Source organism: Homo sapiens, chromosome 8 (genome assembly GCF_000001405.40).
Source record: "Homo sapiens chromosome 8, GRCh38.p14 Primary Assembly".
NCBI classification, from domain to species: Eukaryota; Metazoa; Chordata; class Mammalia; order Primates; family Hominidae; genus Homo; species Homo sapiens.
This window is the reverse complement of record NC_000008.11, coordinates 98,174,206-98,193,150: the sequence shown is the minus strand read 5'-3', so window position 1 is coordinate 98,193,150 and position 18,945 is coordinate 98,174,206. Positions and strand designations below refer to the sequence as shown.

At 46.8% G+C, this 18,945-nt stretch overlaps 1 protein-coding gene, 1 long non-coding RNA gene and 1 pseudogene across 8 annotated transcripts in view; 2 read left to right on the top strand and 1 right to left on the bottom strand.

Moving 5' to 3' along the window:
• Nucleotides 1-3,325, top strand: part of NIPAL2 (NIPA like domain containing 2) — a 104,410-nt gene extending 101,085 nt beyond the window's left edge. For all 6 annotated transcript variants that reach the window (NR_135747.2, NR_135745.2, NR_135746.2 and 3 more), the window contains one exon: nt 61-3,325. Coding sequence is in view for 3 of the 6 variants with exons in the window: in NM_001321635.2 (NP_001308564.1) it covers nt 61-173 (113 nt within the window). In the remaining 3 variants the exon portion in view is untranslated. The remainder of the gene's footprint in view (nt 1-60) is intronic.
• The window catches only part of NIPAL2-AS1 (NIPAL2 antisense RNA 1), a 72,899-nt gene extending 56,218 nt beyond the window's left edge, over nt 1-16,681 (bottom strand). Inside the window, exons 1-3 of one of the 2 annotated variants that reach the window (XR_928443.3) lie at nt 16,243-16,681; nt 13,107-13,329; nt 12,380-12,557 (exon numbers count right to left, since the gene is read on the bottom strand). This is a non-coding gene — a long non-coding RNA (NIPAL2 antisense RNA 1). Of the gene's footprint in view, nt 1-12,379; nt 12,558-13,106; nt 13,330-16,242 lie in introns of those variants that run through there. The other variant, XR_928444.3, reaches the window with a different exon arrangement.
• RNU6-914P (RNA, U6 small nuclear 914, pseudogene) lies at nt 844-936 on the top strand (annotated as a pseudogene).
• Nucleotides 16,682-18,945: the final 2,264 nt, after the last annotated feature.

Below are 18,945 nucleotides of genomic sequence, written 5' to 3'. Positions count from 1 at the left end.
TATTAAGACTTATTTTTCTGTAAGACCTCAAAAGATTCTCTATGATTATTATCTCCACAGGGAAACAAATGTTGGACAAAATACAACCAGATTCACATAGCTTATCCTATGGAACTTTGCCTGATGGAAGTGACTCAACAAAGAGCCAAAGTGGAGAGAAGAAAGAGGTCTAAATGCTGAGAAGGATGGCTGTTGGCCTGTTATTCGATACCACCTTTTTAAAAAATTGCACATGTTCAATTTGTGTCAGCAGCTCTTTTATAAGCTAACATGTGCTAGCATTCATTTCAGTCCTTTCCCCCACCTCAGCGTCTATGGACAATCGGGGACTTCCTAAGCTCTGACAGTCTAATATTTCCATGGAATGTGATTTGGAGTGTTCCCCACACCCTGGACCTCTCCCTAGTGATTATCTAGCCAGCTACACCTTACTCAGAGCCCGGCTGCTCTAGCAGGAATGTTGCACAGAAACATACATTTGCGGTTTGGCCACAGGTCGCATAGGTGGCTTCTCCCACGGGTAGTGTCAGTTGCTTCACTTTAAAAAGTCACTTCAGCCCCACAACCTCACTCCCAAAAGAAAGGTTTGAGAGCGCTCATTTTTTTTCTAAGACACCTTTTATAAGCCTCCCTATAAAAATCTCACCTTTCAAGTACTAAGTTAGAATTGCAAGTCATCTTTTCTGAAAACTAATGCTATCAAAGTCCTCCTTTGAAAATTAAGGGTCTCTTTAAAATTAGAATTTATAAATGGCATTCAGTGATAGTGTACACCAAAATTAAAAGACCTTGACTGGTGGGCTTTTTACGTGTAAGGAAGAGGAAGTTTAAGAAGTAGGACTCTGCTTGTTTCAGTAGCCCATGTACTAAAATAGGAACAATGCAGAGATTAGCACAGCCCCTGCACAAGGCTGACACATAAATTCATGAAGCGTTAGAGACAAAAAGTAGGACTAATGTTTGTTTATTTTTTAATAAAAATCTAGAATGGTGATGTTTTCTTCAGCTGTATGATTCTATCATACTTGAAACTGAAGAAAAATTTAATATCCTATGTCTTTTTTATAGATCTTATAATTTATCAAGTGGATTTATATGTCTTATTCTCCATATAAGTCTAAAAAATCACATTTAAATTCTTAGTGATAGTTTCACTACACATCATTTCTTCCCAAAGTCATTACCTCAAGCTTTGTAAATTCTTCTAGATAAAAGGAGAGTTGTGATTAGAGAACTGAATTTCAGCCATTTAAACCTGTAGACATAGAAAACAACCCAGTGGTCAAACCTGAGCTTCAAGAGGAAGCCCAAGTCCTCCTGTTTCCTGAATGGCTTTTCCACTCCAATTCATCACATATCTGCTAAGACACATTTGCAGGTAGAATCCATAATAATATCTGTTATTTATGATCTACCTAATATTTAAAGGAGAAGAAAAGAAGTAGCCTTCGTTGCAGCCAACATCCAACAATAAGTCCCACCCTTAATGACATTTCAAAGCCTTCAGATCACTTCTGACATGTCTGTCCAATATCATTCCAATCAATAGTCTTGCATTTAAATAGGTTGTTTAACTCGGTGGTATTGAGACTGTAACCTTAATGGCTCAGGTCTTTTAGCTTTGTTCTTTGTCATAATCTGCACTCCTGGCCAGACTGACCAAACCTGGCTGCAAAGGAAAGAGATTTGAATTGATCACCAATGTATGAAAAATACAGAACCCATGTCTGGCTCCTAAACTCCTGGTAATAATTCCCGCCATCGTAGCAAGTGTCCCATGCATTCAGATAAAGCAGTCATAATTTATGGTGTATTTTACCGAATTGGTCCAGCATATTGGTCCTACAAGGCTCAGCCAAGAAATGTATCTGGTGCCTTAAACTACAGATTTCTGGTGACTCTTAAAACTGGTTTACAAAGATTGAGAAAACAATTAGATTGAAGAGTTTTGCTTCAAGTAGACCTGCATTCATAGCTAGAGTGCATGAGATTTTCAGCACTGTAGAATTTCACACAGGCACAAGCATAACACCAGTACTTTAGCAGCCGCCAACAGTTGCATCTATTAAACGTTTTGAGAAATGACATTGACTTATGCACATTTAAGCAATCAACAATGTTTTAGAAGTCCAGGTAACATATAAAATATATTCAGACCTAGTTTTACTTTCCATATTGTTGCTCCAAAGTAAGGTAAATAGGAGTTTTAGTTGTACTGGCCTGTAAGATTTTTTAAATTACACAGTGCATGACAACAACTAAAGCCAACTCAGTCCTTCTCTTGGCATTGTGAGTTGAGGACCTTTAGCCAACTGTTAGCTCATCTGACTATCTGTCTAGACCAAGGGTCGGCAAAGTTTTCAGTAAAGACCCACAGAGTACATATTTTGGAGTTTGTGTTGTCTGTACCAACAGACAGACATGGTGTCTGTCCCAACTACCCAACTCTGCCATTGTAGCACTAAAGCAGCCATAGACAAGATGTAAACAGAAGAGCATGGCTGTGTTCCAGTAAAACTTTATTTACAGGCCAGGCATGGTGGCTCATGCCTGTAATCCCAGCACTCTGGGAGGCTGAGGCTGACAGATCATCTGAGGTTAGGAGTTTGGGACCAGCCTGGTCAACATAGTGAAACCCCATCTCTACTAAAAGTACAAAAATTAGCCAGGCATGACGGTGGGTGCCTGGAGTCCCAGCTACCTGGGAGGCTGAGGCAGGAGAATCACTTGAACCCGGGAGGTGGAGGTTGCAGTGAGCCGAGATCATGCCATTGCACTCCAGCCTGGGCGACAGAGTAAGACTGTCTCAAAAACAAACAAACAAACAAACAAACAAAAACAAGTGGCCAGTCTGTGAGCTATAGTTCCCAACACCTGGTCTAGACTCTTCTGCCCTTGCTCTGCAGCTTCTTTCCTGTTGATTGGGCATTCAGGGAAGGAGTTTAAAAAGTGACACTCATGGCTCATGACAAATGAGATACTTTGGGAGTGTGGAAACATGGCTTGATATTTGCCTTCAGATATTTTTGCTTATATAAGTTCTAAATGGAAGTGATAAGTTCATTCTTAGGGTCCAAGTTGAAAGGCAGTGGTTCTTTTGTGAACACCACTAACTACATTCGAAAAGCCTCTCCAATTCCACATTCCAAGTCTATAACAGCTTTGGAAATGAGTAACAATGACCTCTCATGTAGTAGATTAAAGCAGAGGCCTTTGCCATATGATTGTTTTTTGGCTTAAATGTTTGCTTGCCCTGTAACTGTAATACTTTGGTTACCAGAATCACTTGAAAACAAATACAATAAAAAAATTTCTCAAGCAGTGACCCAGAATGTATTCTTCCCCCTCTTCAATACCCCACACACTCCTAGAGATTCTGTTCTGTGGCAATGTAAGAAAGAGAAAGGCAGATTTCATAGATGAGTACAATTTCAGTGCTATGAAAGAGTAATGGTGGTAATGTGTAAGTTTGGCTCCAAAGGACGCAGGTGTAATGGTGGACATAACTCAAAGAGATAGAAATGTCGAGCCAAGTTCCCTAAGCCAAGCACCCTCTTTGTGCTCCTGTTTCCAAGCACGCAACTCATCCAGGAATGGTGAGTGTACACACTCAGCCATGCTGAAGGCTGCCTCAGTGCTTGCCAATTTAACAGTGATATGGTGGACATAAATATAGCAGTTACTGACATGAACCTTCCCAACACTCTTCCAGACTGCTTTACTTAAACTCTGTGGCTGGTTATAGAGGCAGTCTTTGCACTGGGCGGCTGCAAGGCTAATGCACATGTTTGGCACCAGTGAATGTGAGTCCTTTAGTGAGGTTGCTAGATAAACACCACACATTTTGAACTATTAGAATAAAATCTCAAAATTGAACCCAACGTGATTGTATGGGGAATTTAGAGGCTGCTTCTAATCGTTAGACTCATCAACAGTCTGGCTCTTATTATGACCATCTTGAAGTAAAACAATAAAATAAAATTCCACACATACACAGTTTCCATGCAAATATAGACCAGCCTTGAGCTATTAAACCTAGCATTTTAGCAATTGTGGTAAATGCAGGGAAGAGCCTTTCCACCCAGGAATTTTTGAGTCTGTTCCCTTTCTCACCAGCCTCAGGGTACCACACAACATGATGTCCTGTGCCAGAAGAGCAAATCAGTTACAGGAGCTGTGGCCCATCCAAGGAAGCTTTTTTTTTTTTTTCCTGAGAGGGAGGAAACTCCTCCTTTAATGTTGGTCCTTATTGAGAGTTAATGAGTCCCAACCACAATGTAAAAGAGAAATATCAATCCCAATATCAAATAAATGTGGTGTTTTGGGGTGCACCCTGCTGGGCCAGGTGCTGCCAAGAGTTTCATGGAGTTCCAGACAAGATGTCAGATAGTCTCCATGTTCCAGGAAAGAATCTCCTTCCCAGGGAGCTGACAAGTGCATAGCCAAGAAAGAGCCCTCCATTCCTGGTGGGACCAGCAAGCATGGACCGAAGCCACTTTGCACATTTGAGCTGCTGCTATCCAAACATGAACAAATCCATCCAGTGTGCACGCATCCCACTTTCAAGCCTTTCCCTCATGGTTCTAATTTGAAAACCAACCTCAGAAATGTTCTGAGGCTTGGGCTCTACTCCCTCTATCCAAAGCACCTCACCTAAACCTTCTAAACACTGTGCATGAACAAGGAGATGAATCAACTCAAGAACTCTTGACCCCAGGGACTCAAAGCCTGGGTTATTTGCCTGATTATAGACTACTAGCTCAATTACCACATGACTCAATCTTAGCAAATGTTCATTAATTCACTCAAATATAATCAATCACCTACAATTTTCAATGTAACATGCATTTTTTAAATAGACTTTATTTTGTAGAGTAGCTTTAGGTCACAGCAAAATTGAGCAGAAGGTACAGAGAATTGCCATCTGCTTCCTGCCCCTTCACAGGCACAGCCTCTCCTATTAGCAACATCCCCCACCAGAGTGGTACATTTGTTACAATCAATGAGCCTACATTGGCACATCATTATCACCCAAACTCCCTGGTTTACGTTAGGGTTCGCTCTTGCTGTTATACATTCTACGGGTTTGGACAAGTGTATGGTGACATGTGCCCATCATGATAGTATCATACAGATCAGTTTCCAAAACCCTCTGTGCTCTGCCTAGTCGTCCCTCCATCCCTGCACGCCCTGGCAACCACTGATCTTTTTACTGTCTCCAAAGTTTTGCCTTTTCAGGAATGTCATATGTTGAAATCATATAGTATGTAGCTTTTTCAAATTGGCTTCTTTCACTTAGTAACATGGATTTAAGGTTCCTCCATGGCTATTTACACTTAGTTGCCCATTTCTTTTGAGTGCTGAATAGTATTCCATTGCCTGGACGTACCACAGTTTATTCGCCTATTCGTCTACTTGGTTGGACAAGTAGATAAATAGATATCATCTTGGAAGGACATCTTGCAATTGCAAAAAGCTTCCAAGTTTTTGCAATTTAAAGTTATTGGGAATATGATGATGAATTAGACCAGCTCTTTGTGAGTTGCCTGTCTAGTTAGAGAAACCATAGCTATCATTTATTGAGCCCTTACTGCTAATCTTTTACTTGTGTTATTCATTTCATCCTTAAAATTCTCTATTAGAGAGGTCCTGATCCCCACTTTACAGATTAGAAAACCATGATAAGAGGCAGGGCAGGGATTAGGGTAAGTCAAGAGAGGCCCAAGGCACACAATTTAATGAAGCTTATGAAAATCTGACTTGTGGGGTGGTGAGAGGACCCTGAGAGTGAGTGCCTCTTTAAATGTTGTGCCCTAGGTGCCTCACTGTGTCCCAGTCCTGGGAAAAGGAGTTAAGTGACTTGACCAGTATCATTCAGCTGGCAAGTGGCGGAGCTGGGATTTGAACCCAGGACATCTAGCTCTGTAACCCACACTCTTAGCACAAGTGGCCAAAGTACCTACACTGTGCAACTGAATGTTGAAAATGCCTTAAGAGACTTAAAGGGCATGGGAGCTTGGAGGAGAGAAAGGTCTAGGGCACAGTCTTCAAAGGGATTCAGGATTGTAGTGGGTTAAATGGTGGCCCCTGAAACAATATGTCCATGTCCTAAACCCTGCAACCTGTGAATGTGACCATATTTGGAAATAAGTTCTTTGCAAAAGAAATTCAGGATCTTGAGATGAAAGCAACCGGGATTACCTGGGTGGCACCTAAATCCATTGACAAGTGTCCTTAGACAGAAAAGGCAAGACACAGAGAGGGCCCTGTGAAGATAGAAGCAGAGACTGGAGTCCTGAAATCACAAGCCAAGGCAGACCTAGAGCCATCAGAAACTAGAGGAGACAGGGCAGGACTCTCCCCTAGCGCCTTCCGAGGGAGCACAGCCCTGACTACTCCTTGATTTCAGACTTCTGACCTCCTTAGTGGTGATTTATTGTGGAAACTCTAGGAAACTAAAACAGGGATTGACCTGGTCTTTGAAGTGCATGTAGAATTTGGACATAAGGGGAAGCCCCATGAGCAAAGAAGAAACTGAATAGTTCAAGCCTGGTAAACATCTATAACATGGGGTCACACGAAGAGGAAGGCAACTCGGTAAGGCTAGAAAAGCAAGTAAGAAGGCCCTGAGTGGCCAGCTATAACACAGATTTAAGAGTTCAGGCTTGATTTGAGAGGTAAACGATTGTATTAACTTCATTTCCAGGGATGCAGACTGAACTTAACGAACATAATCAGTATCTTTCCAAAAACTCACCTATCCATGCACACTGGCAAATAACACTCAAAAACAACAACAATAAAACTCACCTATCAGAATTTAAGGGCTGGGCGCGGTGGCTCACGCCTGTAATCCCAGCATTTTGGGAGGCCGAGGCGTGTGCATCACGAGGTCAGGAGATCGAGACCATCCTGGCTAACACAGTGAAACCCCGTCTCTACTAAAAATACAAGACATAAGCCGGGCGTGGTGGTGGGCGCCTGTAGTTCCAGCTACTCGGGAGGCTGAGGCAGGAGAGTGGCGTGAACTTGGGAAGCAGAGCTTGCAGTGAGCTGAGCTGGTACCACTGCACTCCAGCCTGGGTGACAGAGTGAGACTCCGTCTGAAAAAAAAAATTTAAGGACGTTACTCCACATCTTCCTTAGGCAGTCACTCTCAGTATAAGATGGCATAAAAGATATTCAGGAAATAATGACTGAACTCTACTTTTGCATTTGTGGCTCATCACATCCTACCAGAAATGATCAAGCATAACGAGGCTATGAGCTGAACAGTGACCTCTGAGATGGCCTCGAGCAAAACAGCTGTCTCCAGAGAAGAATGGGCTGGGCCATCCAAAATCTCACTCTCCAGAACTTGGGGTGAGAGGCATGGAGACAGTCAAGGAGGTAGGAGTGGGAGCCGATACTGGAAGGCTTCCCAGAGAGATATAAAGGTACAAGGGGACCACAGAGGGCCTTGGCAAGCCAAGGTTAATAGTATACAAGGAAGAGTGAATCATGAGAGTAAATGAGCTAAGAGCCAAATCTGTTGGCAGAGACAGGGGAAGTAAGAAAATACTGCAAGGAAAACAAAGACTCTGAGAGAGGTGACCAGGAGAGCAAAGCCCAGGACCTGTTGCAGGTGTATAAAGTTCATGGCACACTTACAGTAACAGCCAACTCCCTCCAGCTGGCTGGAGAGACTCTTCCGAGCCACCAAAGGGCCTGAGTTCCATGGGAGTCACTGGGTTTCCAGAAGACAATAGATAGATCAGGCTGTTGGCACCAGACAGGGAAGGGATGAGTTCATTTGAGAAATACTTCATGAAAACCATCATTTCCAGTATTCACACTATGGTGCAGGACTGTTCAGTGAGAGTCCATAGTGGCAGGGGACAACCTTCAGATAGAAGATGGAAGAAAGTGGGCCCAAGAAAATGATCAGGAGTCCCTGGTGGATCCCAGGCCTAATCTTAATGAGCGGTATACCCTTATTTTTTAAAGGTATGTAGAGTACTCTCAATGCATGGTCACTGGATGACGGCTGAGGCATCTGCTGAGTGAGTATTTGTGTGTGTGTGTGTGTGTGTGTGTGTGTGTGTGTGTGTGTGTGTGTGTGTGTTGGGAGTGGGGTGCGATGATGCATAAAAAGACATTGAGGGAGCAGGGGACATACTGGGAACCCTTTTCAGTGTGGAGAGAAAGGTCAACTCCCTCAGCCACAGACAGGATAAAAATGGGGAGCACAACAGCAAAAGAGCCCTTTAAACACCTCCTTCCTTGACTCTCTGTCCACCTAGGAATGCAAATCTGAGCAGGTGGCTCTTAGGGCAAAACCAGAGAAATGAACCGGGTCGCGGGAGAAGAGGCGCCTCCAAGTAGCGCAGCCCCATCCCCTGGGCTCTCACCACCCCCAAGCTAGGAACTCCTGCACCAGGTTGTGGCTCCGCTGCTGTGCCTTGGAACAGGGTGGGCACCCCCACGGAACCTGGTACGCAATGGCCACCTTTCTCCTTTGGCTTGGGGGTCTCGGGGTGGCAACCTGGGACACTGCTGTCCGGAACATGACAGGGCCCACCCTGCTTCTCAGTCGCTAACAGGAAAACAGGATTCTGCAGGGGAGGACAGAAATCTGTCACCCGGGGCACAGGGCTTGCCTTGCTGGCCTTTCCACGGGCCTTCTCTAAAGCAAACCACCTGTTTCCTGCCCAGCATGGGCCTGAGCCTTCCAAGATGTCCGCAGAAAAGAAACGTGTCCAAACCACTGCTGAGGAATGACAGTCTTGGCACTGCCTCCAGTTATATTTGTTGTTCACTAAGGAGTTTTGTGGAATTCAGACTCATTTTCCACTGAAACAGGGGAAAGTAAAGACGGCACCAAATAAAAATAGCTTCCCGGCGTTTCCTGTTTACTCTGCTCTGCGGGCTTCCCACGGCCTGGGGGCTTCACTGGACGTCTGCACAGAAAGCCCCTCTCCAAAGAACACCGCAAGTGACGATTTGCTTTCTTCTTCTGTGTTTCTAACTCTCTTCCTTGTGTTCCACAGAAGTTTAGTTTGGGGGTCTGTTGGGTTAACTCCCAAGTCTCCTTTTTCTAGCCCTTTTTAGAGGGAGACAAGGTTGCAGGGTGTTTCTCTGCTTTCCACGGCCCTGTTCTCTCACAAAGTAGAGCCAATCATGTCCGGCCTGCTGGGCCTCAGAAGGAAGATGTAGGAGAAAGAGTAGGTGACACAAATATAAAAGGACTGTGGAGAGAGGGGCCCTGGCCAGGCACAGTGGCTCATGCCTGTAATCCCAGCACTTTGGGAGGCCAAGGTAGGAGGATCACTTGAGCCAAGGAGTTCCAGACCAGCCTGGGCAACACGGGGAGACCCCGTTTGTGCAAAAAAAAAAAAAAAAAAAATTAATTAGCCAGGTATGGTGGCACATGTGTGCCTGTGGTCCCAGCTGCTTAGGAGGCTGAGGTGGGAGGATCCCTTAAGCCTGGGAGGTCGAGGCTGCAGAGAGCTATGATCTCGCCACTGCACTCCAGCCTGGGCAACAAAGCAAGACCCTGTCTCAAAAAACAAAACACAACAAAAAAAGGGGGTTTAGGCCTGGCACAAAGATTTCACATCCTCCTTCAGAATAATGTTCAGGAGAGAACAGAATTGACAGCAAAGACACAGGTGACAAGACAGGAAAAGCTCATCCAACAGAAGAGCAGAGGTGTCCCAGACATCGAGCCTAACGGAGCTGTGTGTGACTCTAAGCTTTTGCTTAAAACCACGGAGACATCAAACATGTTCGGGGAGAGTTCCGTCTGAGGAGCAAGCAACTCCTGGGTGGGCCAGGAGTGACGGGTCTGTGCTGCAAATTGGTGTTTGGCCCCTGCACACAGCCCACGTGCTGAACATGTTTTTTCGGTCCAAAAACAATGGGAGCAGCCTCACTTTCCCTACTGATTTTTGCACCACAACAATAAAGTTAATAATGGAAAAAACATATCCCATGGCCAGGAACACTCTGAGCGAGCACAGCAGAGTGTTGGATCTACCATCTATCAACAGAAACTGCTGAGAGCAAACCAAAGCCTGTTAACTGATTTTTATGAATGATTGAAAGAGCAAAGCAGATTTATTTGATTTCCATCATATAAAAATTGACAGTTACATAAATATATCTCTAAAACTGTCAGGATGAAAACCATCCCATTCTTGACAGGAAGTGAAGTCACAAAAAAAGCTAAACTGACACTGCTATCGGGGGCCTCTTGTGGATTGAATTGGGGCCCCCACCCAAAATAAACATTAAAGTCCTAACCCCCACTACCTCAGAATGTGACATTATTTGGAAATAGAGTCTTTACAGAGGTAAGCAAGTTAAAAATTAGGCCATTAGGGACTGAGCCCTGACCAGTTCAGCTGGTGTCCATAGAAAAAGGGGAAACATGCTCACAGAGACACACTGAGTGAAGCCAAGGCGAAGACACAGTGAGACACCATCAACAAGCCCAAGGGACAACTGTGACCACCTGAAGCCAGCAGAGAGGCATGAAACAGAATCTTCTTCACAGACCTCAAAAGGAACCAACCCTACCAACACCTTGATTTTGGACATCTAGGCTCCAGACTGTGAGACAATAAATTTCTGTTAAGTCCCCCAGTTGATGGTACTTTACTACAGCGGATGTAGCAAACTCATACAAGGACTTTCATCTCCTTTGCTCCCAGAGGCTGACGCTCTGCTCTGTTCGGAGAATCTGCCATGGTGCAAACCTTGCTGGGAAGCAGAGCCACCCCGCACCTCACTATAAAAGCTGAAAGCCAAGATTTCCCTCTCCCCCACCCCTGGCAGATGATGCTCTGTTCCAGGGCACTGGGGCTAGAGCACTGGGCAGTTTAGAATGGATTCTTTCGTTGCCTGCAGTGGTGGCTCCTAACCTCCAGTTGTAATGATGCCAGGATGCCACCCAGCATTTGCCAGAAACCTGACCTTGGCCGTACATCTGGCCATTTGGTTTCACTTGGTTCCTTCCCCTTTTCCAAGCCCAATCCTGCAGACTTCCCATGGATTCTGTAAGCACCTCAGCAAACGAGGACATCAGTGCAGATCAATAAAAAGCCGAGCATCCCACACAGTTTGTCTGGCATTTTCCACCCCCTTGACCATGGCCTGTGAGACATCCTAATCTCAGTGCAAACAAAGGCAAACTCCCCACATTTACCCTCCATCTTTTCTCCAGTCGCCACCAAACTACCTCTGTTCACGGCACCCCTGTGCTCCCCTGACCACCATGAGATAGGTCCCATACAACACACGCTTCCCCTTTTTCCCAGGCTCCCAGCAGCCACCCTTATGTCAGGTCCTCCCACCTGAAACACCACGCCAGCCCACACACTGGTCTGAGCCATTGTCTGCATCTCAGATTCCCATGCATGCTGGTGGGGGCAGTGAGTCCTGGAGAGAGAGAAAGATCTGATCCTACCCCCAGCATGCATTTCCCCTGCTACTGCTCCTGGCCTCACCATCTGCTCACCTGCACTCCACTGGAGTCCAGCCCTCCTTCAAAGCCCATCTCTAATACGGATAAAGAGTTTTATAATTTTTCTTCTTGAAACAAGATCTGGCCCTGTCACCCAGGCTGGAGTACGGTGTCACAATCTCGGCTCACTCCAGCCTCAACCTCCTGGGCTCAACCGATCCTCCCGCTTCAGCCTCCCAAGCAGCTGAGACCACAGGTGAAGGCCACCGTGTTCTGCTAATCTTAGTATTTTTTTGTAGAGATGGGGTTTTGCCATGTTTCCCAGGCTGGTCTCAAACTCTTGGGCTCAAGCAATCCACCTGCACCTGCCTTGGCCTCCCAAGGTGCTGGGATTACAGGTGTGAGCTACTATGCCTGGCCAGTTTTATGATCCTTATCAGCCAGAGGTGCTCCTTCCCACCTTCAAATCCCCTTTACGTTCTTGGATGCAACTCAGTGTCTTCCACGTTGCGTTACAGTCATCTACATGCTCATCTGGTTCCTGCTATTCAATTGCCACTATCTATGGGACAGGATTTGCCCTGGACTCCTCTCCAGCTCCACTACCACCACCGTCACTTCTCAGTGATGATCACTCACAGCCCCCTAGCTGATCATTCAGTAGAAAAGCCCCAGTCAAAAGACTAGACGTGATCCAACCTCCATGACCTCCCTGCCCAGAAGGCCTCCTCCTTGCTCCATCCTTCCCTACTCTCCAGCTTCACTGCTTCCTCCCTGTTCACTGAACACACCGGGCACACTCCTGCCTCAGGGCCTTTGCACAGGGTAAGTCCCTCAGCTTAAGTTTTTGCCCAAATGTCACCTTCTTGAGGAGGTCAGCCCTGACCTCCTTATTTATAATCTTGCAACCCACCCCACCTCCACCCAGTACCCTTAGTCCTGTTGCCCTGCTTTCTTTCTCTCTGTAGCAAAGATCACCTCCTAGAATAATGAATAATTTTTTATTATGTTTATTGATCATTGTCTGCCTCCCCATCCCCACCTGCCACAAAGTGAGCCCCTCAAGAACAGGAATCTTGATCTGTTATGCTCGCTGATGTATCCTGGGTGCCTGGTACGTGGGGGAGACCCAATAAATATTTGTTACATAAACAAATCTCTGAATTCTGCATACTCCTGACTACGACAGTCACTAGGTTCCCAAATCATGCTACTTTTCTTTTTAAGCCTAGCTGCCTGTTTGCTTGGCTGCTCTTCCCTGCGCTGCCATGGAAACCAACAGCCTAGGGACAGGTTGCTTTTCATGAAGTCAGGCAACGTGCATCACACCCCGCAGAACACACGGACCTGCACCATGTCCTCCACAGCCAGGGGACGGGATGCTCCGCCCAGTCAGCTGGACGTGTAGGGGTGCAAATGGCCCTGGGGCCAGCACCACCCCAGCTCAGGCAGTCTCGGGTCCCCATGCAGTGAGCAGTGGAGGCTTCCCAGGAGGACTCACCCCTGACTGATGGATGCCCACACAGACCACATTCTGTTCTCAGGAGAGGCTCAAGTCAGAATGTTCCCATTGCCACCCACAGGCACTTTCTTTCTATCCCCAATAATAGCAGGTATTTATGGGGCACCTACTATGGACGAGGCACTTTGCATATATTACCTCCAATCCTGGTGGCACTGAAAATTCAGTTATTATGACTTTCACACTTGAGGGAACTGAGGCTCAGGGAGACTAATCAGCTTTGCCTTGGGTCACAGCAAGTCAGTGAAGGAGGTAGATTGGAATCCAGGCACCGAAATGTGTAGCCTCTTCCCACGCCATGAGCTCCCACCTGCGCTGCTGTCTGCAGGCTCCTCTGCTGTGATTGTCTCAGACCCTGTGCCTGAAGAAGGGCGGATAGAGAGCAAGTGGTGGGGGCAGAAATCACTGTAGAAACCCAGCGTGTACACATGACATGCATGCACACACACACACACATGCACACACACAGATCAATGACATGGCCCCAGCAACATTGTAACGCCAGAGTAGGTTTCTGAAGGAGGGGGAGCTCTAAGCTCTCTCTGGAGGCCTTTAAAAAATAACAACAAATAAAAGATAATTCCATCTCATTGGAATGACGTAGGTGTGGTCGTGTCTAAAAGCAGAGATCAGCTGACCCCAACAGTCAGCTTTATGACTATGATAAACCATTACAGAGCAGGCGGACTAACTACTTGGAGCATTGCTAAATCTGTTTTTAATAATGTCACCATCCCAGGACCAAACCCTGCCCTGTCGCTGCAATAAAGGTTCATCATTGCTGGAGAAAGAGCACTGGGTCACAGAGGGCAGAGGCGGGGAAGAGGAGACAGCCTGTTTGTTCTCAAGCATGGGGCTTCATGAGTCATAGGCTCGCTCAGGCGGTGGGGGAAGAGCTTGAAGATTTATCTCAGCTGAGGTCTGAAGGATAAAGATGAAAACAATAGCAAGGAGACCATGTCAGAGCAGCAAGGACAACAGCCCTGCTTGAAAACTGCTCAGCAAAGGGACATGGGGGCTTTGTCGGTGCTGGCATGCACACAACTGTGTAACGTGCACAGTGCAAACACAGGAAGACACCCCTCGAAGGTGTCTAAGATTGTCACGCAACATTTGTCTCAGGCTGTCTCCAGAAGTGGCCAAGCACCTACTACGTGACTCAGGTGGTGAACATTACATTGAAGTGACATCAAAGGCAAAAACTCTGGTCAGCGCTGGAGAAGCAGAAGGGGCCTGCAGAGGAGAAGAGGGCCTGGCAGCCACCCGCAAGAGTTGCCAAACCAAACGTGGTGACATGAGAAGTGACCAGAGGAGATGAGTGTGAAGGGATCTCAGAAAGCAGTGACACCAGTGTCCAAATGTGAGCATCCTAGGCATTTGGCCACCTGGCCCGGGGTCCACAGATCCTACTAGTGTTGACAGCTCTCATCACCTTCTGCACCCACCAGAATCCAGGCCTTTCTGTATCACATGAGAAGGGTGGAGTTCATGCTGGGCAAAAGAATAGTGAGAATGAGCAGGGGACGCCCTGGCTTCTGTGCCTGCATGGGCTTACAGGTGGATAAGAGCCATATCCAGAGGTGCTTCTTGGTGGAAAGATGGGGTTAGCCGGGTCCCACAGCAGTGTCCATGGGCACAGAGGTGACACAGGTGTCCCAGAGATGGGGGGAGATGGTCTCTTTGCTGCCCCTGCACAGAGTCTACACTTTGCCAGCTCCCTGGGAGAAGGCGACTTAGGAGCACCCACATGGGTGCTCCCACAATGGGCTTCAGCAGTGAGGCCCTGGTAAGGCTGCTCCATATGGCTCTCAGAGAATGGATGTCAGGGATTACAGAGGCCCAAGCTGGCACACCTGCACATCTGAATGCCCACACACTTGCATATCTGCTACCTGCAACCCTTGCCAAGGGCCTACTGTATAAATACACCTGACACTCCATGGGCAGGGGAAGGGTGGAAGGCCCTGCATGAGCAGATGGGAACTGGAACTTTAGGTCCCTGTCTGCATCTCACAGGAGACATCAGGGTAAATGAGACACAGGCAGAATGTGCTCTGCCACAAAACACTGCTGCCAAGATTCTACATGGCTCCCAGCTCACTGCGAGTAAACGCCCACGTACCACATCTTACCCCCTGCCCCGTGACCCCAGCCCCTGCTACTCTGGCACTTGCTCACAGGGCTCCAGCCACAGAGGCTTTTCACCAGCTCTGGAAAACTTCTGGGTGCTCCCACCGCAGGGCTTCTGCACGAACTGCTCCTCTGCCTGGATTCCCTCAGGAATCACAGGACTTTCAGGCCTCACCTCGGTCAGCCTGTCCTCAATGTCACCTGCTCAAAGAGGACTTCCCGGCTCACTCACTAACATGGCAGCCACCCCCTGACACTTGCTCTCCACCTTCTCCTCTTTATTTTTCTTCACAATATGCTTTGCCAGCAAATATTCAACTTGAGTATATTTTACTTATTTTTTTGTCTATTGTAAGTTCCCCAAGGGCAGAAATTATTAGCTGTTGCTGTCTCTCCAGTGTTTATCATTGTGCCTGATAGCTAGTACTTGCATGCACATTGTTGAATGAATGAATGAATGAATGAATGAATGAACGAACAGGTGGACAAATGAGTGAACGAATGAGAGAAAGGGAGAAGACACACACAGTGCCTGCCCTCAAGGCCTTTGCTCTCTGGTTGAGTATGTCTTTTTGCTTAGAATAACTTAGGAGCAAAATAAGTTCATTGGTCATATAAGATTTAAAAATTTTTTCAGCATTTTCAGCTCTTCTTCCCTCCAGATTCTAGCAGGAAATTATACCTAACCTGGTTCTTTTTTTTTTTTTTTTTTTTTTTTCCCAAAACAATCATGGAAACTGTGACTGAGAATCTGAAGGGTTTCGGGAGGAAACTCATCTGTTGCATTGTGGTCCTCACCCAAACCAGCCTGGCCTGGGGGCTAGGAAGAATATTGACAGCAAGCAGAGCCAACCATGCTGACAGTGCCAAGTGCTGGGGCAGGGCCTGAGGAATCCAGGCACAGGGAGTGGGGAGCAATGCCAAGGCTGCCGAAGCAGGGGGCAGGCAGGGGGGCACAAACACAGAGCACATACAGCAGCAAGATGACTGTAGCCCACTCTCAGACCACACAGCCCCTGCCTTACTCTGGAAGTGGGCAGTTCAATTCTGGGAGGGGTCTTTATATCTGAAATTCTACTATTGGAGTTCCTGTCTGTCTTAGCTAATGCTGCATAACAACTCACACCAATATTCAGAGACTTACACAATAACCACTGATGATCTCTCATGATTTCTGTAGGTCAGGAATTCAGGGACAGCTTGGCTGGGCAGTTCTGGCTCAAAGTCACTCACTAAGTTGTAGTTGGATGTCAGTTGAGGTTGCAGTCATCTGAAGGCTGGACCGGGACTGGAGGTTCCCCTCCCAAGGTGGCTCACTCATGGCTGGCAGATTGGTGCCGGCTGTTGATCCGTGCCCGGTGTCCCTGGGGCCCCTCCACAGGGCTACTTGAGCATCCTCATGGGATGGCAGCTGGCTTCCTGCAGAGCAGCTGACCCAAGGGCCATGTCAGAAGCTGCAATGCCTTTTTGACTTCGCCTTGGAGGTCACCACTTTCACTTCCATCATATTCTATTCATCACACAGGCCAGCCCAGATTCCATGTGGAAAGGGGCTACATGGGGTGTGAATCCCCAGAAGTGAGGATCACTGGGAAATGTGTGTATGGGGGCCCATTACCACACACTGTCTTTTGTGACATCAAGTCACTGACACAGTTGGGGTGCAAGGGCCTCCGGGAGACGTAGCTGCTAAATCTTATCAATCCAATTCACATCTTATTAGGACTGACTTCATGACACCATCCTTTCCAACTAGGTTTAGCCTCCCTTCCCCCATCCCACTCCAGCCCCCCAACCCCTTACCCCGACCCCCACCCCCACCACAGGCAGCAGAGGAAATCAAAGAGGAGAGTGAAATGATATAGCAGTGAGAGTGAGGTGGGGGCTGGGAAGGGAAGTGAGAGGAAAAGCCAAACGAGGGTCTTCTTCCCTCCACACTCAGGACCCCCTGTTGAATTCACCTATTGAATAAATATTAATTGCATCAACAATGTGCTGGGGACCCAGTAGTAACCCAGACCTCCCACCCAAAATTGATTCTGTATGGCATACGTCCTCATGGAGGTATGTTCTAAGGTCCACCAGGAGCACAGAGGAAGAAGCGCATGAAGTCTATGCTGGGGAAGATTGGGAGGGCTTCACAGAGGAGGTGTCACTCCACACACCCATGAAGTAAAGCTTCCCAGCCCTTGTACAGTCAGAGAGACAGAACGAGGCTGAATATCTTATTCCTTGTCACAGATAGGAGCATCACAGCCTGATCTTCTGCCCTCAGCACCCAAACAGCACATCCCACAGACTATCATGTTCGACACAGCTCTCATGCTGTGGCAAGGAGACTGCGTGTGGCAAGGTTGGAGCTGCGTGGCCACCACCGCCATTTACCAACATTAGGCCCAGGACTACGGGCTGGCGGCTTTCTATCCTATCACAAAAATAACCAGGGAGAGAAACCCTGGCAGTATCCTCACCCAACTTCGTCTAGGCAAGCAGCCCTCGCTCACAGGAAATCCTCCCAAAGGCTCAAGTCCAGTCTCTCTGGCTAGATGTTCAAGGCGGTTCCTCTTACCATGAGAATTCTAAGAGTTATTACACAGTGTTTGTCTTTTTGACAGGCTTATTTCATCTTGACTTACATCCTCCAGGTTCATGCATGTGGCAGCAGGCATTAGAATATCCTTTCTTTTTAAAGCCAAGTAATATTCTATTACATGTATATACCACGTTTTGCTTCTCCATCAATCTGTCAGACGGACACGTGAGTTATTTTCACCTGTTGGCTATTGAAAATAATACTATGAGCATGGGTATAAAAATACCTCTTTGAGACTCTGCTTCCAATTCTTTTGAGTGTATACCCAGAAATGGAATTGCTGGATCAGATGATAATTCTGTCTCTACTTTTTTGAAGGACCACTATACTGTTTTCTGTAATCGTTATTATATAATAGTTATTAATATTTTAATGATTAGTGAACAGTAGCCATCCTGCAAAGCCCTGTCACTCATTCCAGGTCTTTCTCATCCAATCTCATTGTCTAAGGCAATACCCCAACAGACAGTCTTCATTTGCTGGCACTCAGTGTTGCCATTAACCTTCCCAAATTATGCATATTTCACAGATGAAAATCCTGAGTTGCACTGATGAAAGGGAACTTGCCAAGGGCAACAGAGTGAAATGTCAGAACTCCAGACTTGAATTCAAGCAGCCAAGCTTCTCATCTCCCCCCAGGAGGCGTGTTTCAAAGCCTGGGATGGAACTGGGGCTTGCAGGCCAGGTGTGGTGGCTCACGCCTGTAATCCCAACACTTTAGGAGGCCGAGGCAGGCGGATCACCTGAAGTCAGGAGCTCAAGACCAGCCTGGCCAACATGGTGAAACCCCATCCCTACTAAAAATACAAAATTACCCAGGCATGGTGGTGGGTGCCTGTAGTCTCAGCTACTTGGGAGGCTGAGGCAGGAGAATTGCCTGAACCTGGGAGGTAGAGGTGGCAGTGAGCCAAGATCATGCCACTTCACTCCAGCCTGGGTGACAGAGCAAGACTCCATCTCAAAAAAAAAAAAAAAAAAGAATTGTGACTTGGATACCTGTGTCACCTATATCATGTGACTTAAACTCCCTTTGCCTCAGTTTCTTATCTTGAATATGGGTCTAATGATGATGATCTGGAAGTCATTTAAGGATTGAGTTAGGTAACTGCCAGTCGGCCTGGGATGCCATAATTAAATACCACAGGCTGGGTGGCTTAAATAAAAGAAATTTATTTCTCACAGTTCTGGAGGCTGAGAAGTCCAAGATTAAGATCAAGGTGTCGGCAAGGTAGGTTTCATTCTGAGGCCTCTTCC